The sequence below is a fragment of the Homo sapiens genome, chromosome 8 (assembly GCF_000001405.40).
Source record: "Homo sapiens chromosome 8, GRCh38.p14 Primary Assembly".
Taxonomy (NCBI): domain Eukaryota; kingdom Metazoa; phylum Chordata; class Mammalia; order Primates; family Hominidae; genus Homo; species Homo sapiens.
Genome location: NC_000008.11, coordinates 13,326,402 through 13,337,656, shown reverse-complemented (window position 1 = coordinate 13,337,656; position 11,255 = coordinate 13,326,402). Strand labels below are relative to the sequence as shown.

Genomic DNA, 11,255 nt, shown 5'->3' with positions numbered 1-11,255 from the left:
AATTTAGATTTCTTATAAGTTGTCTTTCCTACAATTTTGTCTTATCCTCCTAAATTCTCTGATATTCACACAGAAAATTGAGCAGTGTGGATAGGCATCAGAATCTGTGCCCTAATTTTTCCATCTATTTACAATTCATGATGTTAATGTGATTGTCAAATCAAATCAGGGCATTAAAAATAACCACAAAATACAAATTTCCTAGAATATGTTGTCATTCTGCAACATGACCTTTGAAAATATTGGACTAATTATTTTTTTGTAGCAATTAGTAAATTCATCCTTAATTACAAATTAGGTAATCCATTATTCTGAAATCGGACAGATAATTAGTAATTTCATTTAAAAGTAATTGTAATTGAATCAGAAATATCTTTACTAACTCAGAAAACACACTGCCAAATCTAATGTGTGTTATGGAAATGATATCCACATTCTACATTTTTCATATAGGCCACCTTTTGTGTGCTGCATGATCAAGATTTTAATAGAGCAAAACTGTAGAGAAATTAAATGCTCTTGTAACCATCTGGAATTTACGTCTATGCTAAAGGCATTGTCAAGCAGGTATTTGAACACATCTTCCTTCTGTTTCTATTTTCACCCCAGGAAGGAAGTTATACTTTTCCTTTTGCCTTTGACCAGAAACAATTGATTTTGTTTTACTTGGTTTATATTTTTCATTTCATCTGCTTTAGCTAACTATTAGTAAGTCATTTACTTCTTAATTATTTCTATATCTTAATATTAGGAAAAAAATGACAAATTTGACATCAGTCTTAATGTGTTAATTTTGTTTCCCTGGGTTACCATCAATGTCACATAGCAATAATATCCATTTATATTTGGGTGGCATACATTATACTATTAATATATTATGTACATTATTAATTGATTAATTAACACTATTTTGTATTAATCATTACAACAACCCTACATGTACTGTTCTTATACTCATTTTATAGATAAAGAAGGGGAGGTTGAAGGCAGGAGCATGTAGCTAGTACATGACAGAGCTTGTATTCAAACCCCATCTTCTGATCTTTCCAGTTTTTTCTACCACACAATAGATGCCATGATAAAACACATGGCTGAGCTGTGTGGGCCACCACAGTTGTTCAACCATGATGGCTTTATCTTGGTTTAGTCTCAGTAGCTACAAACCTAACAATAAAAAACAAGCTAATCTCATGCTTTGAGAAAAATAATACTTCTTTGTTTTGAGAGTTTAAAAACTTTCTCCTGGAATTGTGACTTTTCGTAGTCTGAAAAATTAATATAGTGTAACAAATATTATTTTATTACATATATTGATACTTTAGAATTTCTACCACTGTAATTCTACCTTTGATTTCAATAATCAACCACAGTGTCTTGGGGTCAAGCACTTTCACCTTAGGACTGGGTTTATGTTAGAAAAAAAAACTTTATTAAGGGTTCTACTTTCCTAGACTTGAGCAAATAATGGAATATGCTTCAAAGACTTAGATGAATGAACTTCAGCTCATATTGGAAGATTTACAAGGAAAATAATTAATTCAATTATATTTTCAAAAGAAAGATGAGCCTTTAGAAATATGCCTTCTGCCCAGTTTTTGTAAAGATTCTGAATATCAAATCTTTTCCCAGTTAAAATTCCAGTACAATATATAATAAATAGTACCTTCATAAGTGAAAATATTACATAATTTAATGTTTTATAATTTGTAAAAACAATTTTTATGAAAGAAAACTTATTCCTTGCAAAAAAATCATATTTTGAAATTAACAAGTCATGATTACACATGACTTAGTGTGGGTACAATAAATAATAGTTGATTAATTTTGCTTTTTAAATTGTCAAGCAGAGAATCATCGCAGACTTTATATACCCATGCTATATAAAGTCTGCCATGATTCTATGGAACAATAGATCCAGGTTTGGCTTGAGCATTTTGTTTGTTATCAATATTTTCTATAAGGCATAATATGTAATATACATTATCCTACACTTCTTGGAGATCTACTCTTATGAAGGACAGGGGTTTCCATCAGCTTGCCCACAGGATGACTTTACCATGAGGAAAATGAGGATGTTAGTTTCATATATGCTTTGAGAAACTTCAATCGAGGTTTAGAGAACCCTCCCTTAATTGTCTTCCACTCTGCATCAGGAAGTCTCGTGCCTTGACGATAAATATGAGCTGATCTAGAAAAGACTTTTTGTGTGCTCACATTGATTTCTCTACAAATATTAGTATTCCGTAGAGAAAAGTGTTGATCAGCATGTCCTTGGTTTCTATACCCTCTGAATATAAGTCCCTTTCTTAAAATTTAAAAAAGTAGTTTATAGTTGAACTCTACTGTACTTTAGTCAAGTTCTCTACCCATTTGCCTGATTTCCTTCAATCCTGCTAGCTGCTATTTCTCACACTCCTTTGCTCTTCCTCCTCCAAGAGGCTTCTAAATTGTGGCAGACCCCAAGGCATTTTCTCCAGCCATCCTTTCTTCCTGTCTCTTTTCTCTTTGGAAGATCTCATCCTGCCCCCATAGTCTTAAAAACACCTTGGAGGCTGATGATTCTAAAATGTATACCTGCAGCTTGGACCTCTCTCCTGAGTCCAGACTTGTCTCTCCCTCCTTGGCTTAGCACAGTGACAACCAGCTAGAGCCCCTGAGCCAGATTTTCTGTGGGCTAATTCAGACTCTGCCATTTATTACAGCCTTAACAGTCACAATAGCAGTCCCTATTTCCAGATAAAGTTAAGAGGCATAAATGAGCTATTGCCCCTAAAAGGGCTTAGAGCAGCGCCTGCCACATAATAGGCATTGATAAATAATAGCTATGATTATGACTTAAATCTCTACTTTGGACATCTAACAAGCATCTCATTTTTAACATGACAAAACCAGGACAACTGGTGTTTTCCCTCTGTACCTTCTGATACACCAGATTTTCAGCCAAGATCAAACACCCAGAAGGAATTTTTGATTCTTCTCTTTTCTTCAAATGACTCATCCAGTCCATGCGTTAGTAAGTCCTGCCCACTTTATCTACAAAATAACTCCTGATGTTTTCCTCTTGCCTTGTCCTTGCCCAGAGACAATTGATGTCTGTCTCCCACAAACCTGGTTTGGTCCCCATTGTTTCCTAGCTGGTCTCCTGCCTTCTCCCCTGCCTGCGCAGTCTACCCCATGTGCACAGTGATCTTTCTGCTTATTAATCCACTTATGATACTCTTCTTGCTTAGAACTTCCAGCTGCTCCCCATTTCTGCCAACATAAAACTCCTCCAGGGGGGCTCACAGATCTGGCCTGTCCCTGCTCCCTGACCTCTTGTCCCTCTCTTCTCCCCCATCTTCCACTGTGCTAGCAGTGACACTAGCCTTGTCTCTGTCCTTTGAGCACACCAAGCTCCTTTCCCTCCCAAGGTCTCCGCATCTGCAACTCCCCCCTGCTTCTCTCCTCTGTGTCACTGCTTGCAATGCTATCTCCTGGTTATTCATGGTGCAACTCAAATGTCACCACCATGAGAGCTGACGTCCCTGGTAACCTTGACTAAAGCCACTTCTCACCCCCTCTCCAAGCATCCCTCGCTCTCCACCATATGGCCTTATTTTCTCTTCTTCCTAACAGTTATCTAAATATGACATTGACTTATTTGTTTTCCATGTCGTTAGGCAATCTTCCCCACTGGAAGGTCAGCCTCATGAGCAAAGGGGCTTTTCAAATTCTGTTCATCACTGTTTTCCCAGTATGTATAAGGTGTCTGGCACACAGAGAAGACACTTGAAAATTTTCTGTGTCTGAATAACTCTGTGTTTGCTAAGATCTTTTAAAGCTGTCTACTCTATTGTGAAGCCTCATAAAATAAACATGTTTGTAGATATCTAACAAAGTGATGTTAGGTAAAGAAGGAGAATGTGTCATTTGAAACCATTTAGGGAACCCATTTAGTTTGAGTTACTATAAATTTTGTTGTACACATTGTAAATAAAGCTATATTTTAAATAAGGGGGCGGGTGAGAACACATGAAGGGTAGTTCTGTTACAAGCAGGAGAGCCATTTCCCACTGCATCTTGAAATGCCCTCGTTAAGCAGTTTCAGTCTTAGAAAATGTTTATTTTTGCCAGCCATGATCGTTTACACCTGTTGATCCCCACATATTGGGAGTCTAAAACAGGAAGATCACTTCAGTGCAGGAGTTCAAGGCCAACCAGGACAAAACAATGAGACCCTCATCACTAAAACAAAAAAAACAAAAAACAAACAAACAAACAAAAATCAGCCAGGCACGGTGGTGCTCAGGTGTAGTCTCAGCTACTCGGGAGGCTGAGGTGGGAGGATGGCTTGAGCCCAGGTGTTCCAAGCTGCAGTGAGCTATGATTGTGCCACTGCACTCCAGCCTGGGCAATAAAGGAAGACCCTGTCTCTAAGAAAAGAAAAAAGAAAGGATGACAATTTTTATTCTGTATCTCAAAGAAAATCTTGTATAACATTGATAGGTAGGGAATATTTTACAAAAATGTATTCATGCATGCAATAAGGACAAAGAAAAAATAATTTAAACAATTTATATAAGTAGTAAGTGCAATATGAAAAAACTGTAATATATTTTTAAATTAAATTCAGTTAGTTTTTCTAGAATCATAGTGTTGCCACAATTCTAGAGAGGTAATTTAGTCCATTTCTCTGCCTTTAGGGAGGATAAACATAAATTTTATTTTCTTTAAACCTTTGGGCAGGAGATTTTGGCATCCGAGAACCACTCTTAAGAATCTATTTCAGCAGTGACTCAGTCAAATACACAAAAAAATCACATTTTAATATATTGTTCCAAATAAACTATATTAATTCTGTAAAATAACAATTAACCTAGGTTAATTAATGGGTTAATCAAGTAACTCATAATTTACTTGTTAAAGAAAAAGCAAACTCAAGAAAATCCATGAATAGTGGGCCAGACATGGTGGCTCACGTCTCTGGGAGGCCAAGTCGGGCGTTTCACTTGAGGTCAGGAGTTCGAGATCAGCCAAGCCAGGCCAACATGGAACCCAATCTCTACTAAACATACAAAAATTAGCGGGGCGTGGTGGTGGACATCTGTAATCCCAACTACTCAGGAGGCTGCGGCAGGAGAATCGCTTGAACCCCAGAGGTGGAGGTTGCAATGAGCCGAGATCGTGCCACTGCACTCCAGTCTGGGCAAAACAGCGAGACCCCATCTTAAAAAAAAAAAAAAGACAAAAGAAAATCAGTCAATAGTGAACATTCAGTGTTTCCAGCAGCTACCAAGGTATGCTATGTGTGCTCTGGTCATTCTCTGACTCTCAGGTATACTTCTTGAAACCAGGGAATGAACAGTGTAGCTCAGATAATTTGGAGCTGGAGGCACTGCAGGAACCAATCTTTATAAAAAGATTGCATTGTGTTCATTACGCTTTATTCGCTAAGGCAGGAAAATATGCTAATGCACTTTACAATGATTTTCAAAAATGGTTGAAATAAGGTGTTTTGTGTTTTGTTTTTAATTTAAAGGGGCATTAAGAAAAATAAGCAATTACATTCCATGTCCAATCAAGGTTTTACTGTATGTGACTTAGAGGTCATTAAAAATGCTGAAGCTAATTTATCAGTTTAAAAATAATAGTTCGTCATTTTGTGGAAGCTGACATCAACCTAACATGGTTTGAGTCTTTGTGTGTAGAAGTTACATACATTGTCCCCTGGTCACATTCTCAACATGTTATGTCAAGAAAGCGTCTAGGAAAAAGAAAGAAGGCACAGAAAGGATCATATTAAAGCCACTTAAAACAAGGAGTGAGGACTGACTCAGTGCCAATATCAATATTTTATTCCTTTTGGTAGGCAAAAATTTTTGTGCTTCTGAAATTTTAGAAACTTCAAAAAATAGGTTGTACTTTTAAACAGAAAGTAGAAAATATTGAGTTTCAGGTTTTATGAAAAGTTTCTTGGATTTGGTGGGGATTTTTTTTTTTATTTTTTGGTTTTGGGTTAGTTGGGGGTTTCTTCTGATGTTTCTGTCTCCATCATTTCTGAATTAGAACATAGACATTTTAAATTTGAGAGCATTATATGGTGCACAGAATTCAGCTATGTGACAAAATTACACATACTGATTCTTTCCCTTTTTTGATCCTCTGTAGCAATAGCTATTTTAACAAAACACTATTTATCCTCATAATAACCAGTCCTCAACTTGGAAGTTCTTTACTCAATCTTCTTTGGAGTGTTGCCTTTATTGAGCCAGACTTATTAAAATACTATTCAGCTTAGAACTTGTTCTCTATACTTTTAAGCCATGGATTCATAGCCTCAGATCTCTGAGCAAAAAAGAATCCTACCAATTGGAATTGCCACCCAAACGAATACCAGGTTTACTCCTATCAATCATTATTTTCCAGAGTAGCCAATGTGGTGCTTACAAAATAACAAAAATTAAAAATTGAATTAAAAGTTTGGGCTTGTTTACAAACCACCAATCTGTATAGTGTCCCAGTAAAACCACTGTGACCATTTATTTACTAGAAGGCTGCAATAAGAGACCAGGAATCCACCCAAAGGAACCAGAGGAACCTGGCTCTGGGCGAATCATAAAGAAGGTAGTGAGCTTTTCTCCTCCTGGTTTGGATACCCTTGGTGCTCATTGTGAGCTTTCTGGATTTATTCTTTGCTTTATTTTTTTTCCTCTTCATGTCTATCCATTATGTTTATTTTAACCTAATTTCAAGTGTGTAAACATTTTGCAGAGGGTGGAACACCTACCTATAAGGCTAACCTGTTTCCACGCTCATGAAAATGAGCCTTGTAAGGAAAGGTATTTTGAGTCATGTTCAGTTTGTAGAGGCACAGAGAGTCTGAAGAAAAGTTTAACAAGTAAACAAGATTAAAAAATTCAAAAGGAAGGTAGTGAGGAAAGACAGATGTAGTAATCCTAACCCCTGGTCACCTCATCCCCTCTCACTGTGTGTTTTTTGTCTATACCTGTGACCTGGGCCTTGAAACATGATGCAGAGACCACAGCTTCATGATAGGAAGGCCCTTGATTAGCAAAGAAGACGTAGAGGAAGGTAGCTAGTGACTGGTTTGAATGTGCTGGCCTATATAATTATCTAGAATTAATATTTGCTCAGAGCTCACAGAATACACAACATTCTGCTAAAGGAGGGTGGCATGGAAAAAGAGGCAGAGATCAACAGACCTGTAACCTAGCTCAGCAAGGTAGACCTTTGTGTTCAGTCAAAAGTTCATGAGGATTCCATTGAATATGTAAAAATCAAAACATGTGTGTACATAGTTTGCTAACGTTCCACCTCTGCCAGGTTGTGCTGGGTTATTTTGATATCAGATGAGTCAACCAGCCAAAGGCAAAAAATCGGTCTTATTTTTAAACACTGGATAATAGGCTGGGTGCGGTGGTTTATTCCTGCAATCCCAGCATTTTGGGAGGCCGAGAAAGGGGGATCAGTTGAAGACCATCCTGGGCAACATAGCAAGATTCTGTCTCTACAAAAAAATTTAAAATTATCCAGACATTGTGGTGTGCACCTGTAGTCCCAGCTACTGAGGAAGTTGAGGTGGGAGGGTCACTTAAGCCTAGGAGTTAGAGGCTGCAGTGAGCTACGATCATGCCACTGCACTCCAGCCTGGGTAACAGAGCAAAATTCTGTCTCTAAATGTAAAAATAAAAATAAAAAATAAACACTGGATAATGAAGCAATGTTCTTTTCTCAAACTCTACAACAAATAAAACCTAAGTATTAAACATGGACTTTGTACACTTGTGTATATATCAATCAATAACCATTACTTACTACATGAAAGTTACCACACTGGTATAGAGAGGACAAAAAGAAAGAAAATACATACACAGCTCCTGTTCTTAAGGATCCTAAGAGTTTTGCTGGAGAAACAGGGCATGACATTCTAATGTATATATAAGAATATGCAGAAAGATTTTAAATCATAATGTATATCAGAAAAATTCTGCATTAGTGGTGAAAATATTTCCTAATCATAGAACAGATGAGGAGTTTAAAATAGCCCTAAACCAAGTCACCCCAAAATTTAGTAGAAAAAAGTCAATATTTCTAGAAGTCATTTCTTTCTTCTAGCTTCCCTGAACTGTAGTTGTGATGGGAAGGAGGTAGCTATTGATAGAATTTACCATATATAGATTAGGTGATGACTGGGGTTAAACCAGTCTGGGGATGACTAGATTCCATTTATCCCACAGGCCAGAATCAACAACAGGGATATATCCTAGTAAATTCTAGGATACAACTCCAACCTTGACCCCCCTTCTATGCATCCCAATGATCTGGACCAATATTATCATTTTCTATGAATGTATGTCTTGACGTGAAAAAATTGGAAAGCTCTATAGGACCAGCAGATAGTCATAAATCCAGAAAGTAATACTTGTTTTCAGAATCAATTTGGGAGAGGGGATGAGGAAAAGGTATTTACTCATTTGGTCTCCCCATCTAGACTGTGATGAGCCACTCCAAGGCAGGACTCGATTCTTCATCTTTTTCCCAGAGCTGAGTTGATGCTCCTGTGATATTTGTTCAAATAATGAATTGGATGAATCAATGTCTGGATCAGTGATTCAATGAATAAATGTCTTTGCTTCCTACCCTCCAGCTTCCTCTTCAACTCACTCTGATCCAGCTTCCCATCCCCTTCACATTTCCATATCTACGCTTGCTGATTTTCTTCAGTGACTTCCACATTGCAGGATGAAATGATCACATTTGCATTCTCATCTCACCTAGTCCCAGATCACTCCAGCCTATTGACTGTCCAGCTCATTTTGGAAGAGTCTGTTCCTTCCGCTTCTGTGACATCACACTTTTCTGGTCTTCCCCTTTCACCTCTGGCTGGTGCTCATCACATCACTCTGCGGGCTCCTCCTGAATTGGGCCCTTGAGTACCTGCATCCAGTCTCAAGCCCACTCCCTTCCCATGTCAAAGTCTCAAAATATAAGGTCCTCATCTCCCCAGCTTCAGATACCCTCAAACTTATATTTCAGCCAAGACCTCTATTCTCACCTCCAGACTCCTAAAACCAGTGGTTTAAAAGTTTCACAACTCTCTCTAGTTGAGCTTCTCCAAAAACAAATTCAGCTCCTGTGATGACCTAGTCCACTTCAGCTGCAGTCTTCTCTACCTATATAGATGGTACTTTCATCTTCTCAGCTTCACAGGGCAAGAATCTGAGAGGCTTCTTCGACTGTGACGTCTTCTACACTCCCGCAATCAACCCAGAACCAAAATACACCTCTCTCTCCAAAATATAACTGAGGCATGAATACTTCTCCCCATATTCATCACTAGCAGCCCAGCCAAATCAGCAGTCAGTTCTTTCTTGAGCTGTTACCACTTACCTGTCAATGCCATCTCTACTCTCATCCCCTTCTTCCAGATATATCCTCCTCATAGGAGCCACAGAGATCTTTTGAAACCACAAATCACATCATTTATCTACTTAAAACCCACGTATAGGTGCTCAGTGCTTATTAGCATCAACTACAAGGGCTTGCATGATCTAGTGACCGCCTCAGCAGCATCATCTTGTGCTCCCTTTTCCATCACTCACCAGATTCCAGCTAGTCTTTTCTATTTTAAGATCCTAGCTTGGAACTCTTGCCAAGATTCTTACCTAGAACTTTTGCACATGTAGTTCCCAGTCTGAGGAGTGCTCTTCCACCTATACTTTGCCTTGTTCATATTTAGGTGTCAAATGAAATGTTAGTTCCTCAGAATAGCTAAATGAAGTTACCCTCTCTGAACTTTTCTTTGTAACACTCTCCACAGTGTTTAATTAATGGCCATTCATTTAATTATTTGTTTAACATTGACATCCCCCACTATGCTGTGAGCTTCATAAGGCCAGAGACAATGTCTACCTTTGTTCACTGCTAATATCGCTAGTGCTTGGCACAGTGCCTGATACAGAGTAGAGGCTCAGTACATTTTTGTCAAGTGGATGGATGGATACTATGCAGTGGATATAGGAAACAGAAAATAGGTTTCAGCTGGGGACAGTGGCTTAAGCCTATAATCCTAACAATGAGAACCTGAGACAGGAGGATTGCTTGAACCCAGGAGTTCAAGACCAGCCAGGGCAACATAATGAGAAACCCCCACCCCCACCGCCCACTCTACAAAGAAAAAAAAATGCCAGAAATAAAAAATTAAAAAATAAAATATGTTTTATGCTTTAATAAGTATGGGCACAAAACACTAGCAAAATGTAATTGCATTATTTGTAAATCCAGCAATTTCTATCTGAATTCTAGAAATAGTCTTTCTTGGTCAGATCCCATTTGGGGCATCACTCTTTGATGCCTACTCCACACTACCTAAAACTGCAAGTGGGGCCGGGCGCAGTGGCTCACGCCTGTAATCCCAGCACTTTGGGAGGCCAAGGCGGGCGGATCATGAGGTCAGGAGATCGAGACCATCCTGACTAACATGGGGAAACCCCGTCTCTGCTAAAAATACAAAAAAAAAAAAAAAAAAAAAAAAAATAGCCGGGTGTGGTGGCGGGCGCCTATAGTCCCAGCTACTCAGGAGGCTGAGGCGGGAGAGTGGCATGAACCTGGGAGGCGGAGCTTGCAGTGAGCCAAGATCGTGCCACTGCACTCCAGCCTGGGCAACAGAGCGAGATTCTGTCTCAAAAAACAAAACAAAACAACAACAACAACAAAAACTGCAAGTGGTCTCTGTTTCTACTGATCACAAATTCACCTTGGGTGCAGCCATATGCACAACAGTTCATTCAATCACACCAGCATGTTCTCCTAGCTCGGTACTTCTCAAAATATGATTCCTAGAGCCGGAGCAGTGCTGCCTGAGAACCTGAAGAAAATATAACTTCTTCAGCCCCACCCTTGATCTAATGACCTACAGAATCAGAAAACTTTGAGAGCAGGCCCGGTAGATGATTCCAATGCACGCTGAAGTTTGAGAACCACTGGGCTAGCTAACCTGGAAAGGGAATACCTAGGAGTCCCAGGTTTACCGTTTTACAACTTAGACATACCTGATTTGTCAGGCTCTTTTGGCAAACTTGGTGGAGACAAGATAATTTGGAGCCAATGTTGGTGTCCAACTTAATAAGCTGGCTCCAGTTGGGGTAGGGAAAGTAGTAGGCAGCTTTTGGGTTATGAGTGGCAAGACTATATGCACAATTATATGTCCTCTTCTTTAAAAAATTATAAATACGTAATGTTGTATATGTATTCTT

At 38.7% G+C, this 11,255-nt stretch overlaps 1 protein-coding gene across 6 annotated transcripts in view; it reads left to right on the top strand.

Moving 5' to 3' along the window:
- DLC1 (DLC1 Rho GTPase activating protein) overlaps window positions 1-11,255 on the top strand; it is a 521,260-nt gene that overhangs the window by 266,964 nt on the left and 243,041 nt on the right. The window lies entirely within an intron of this gene.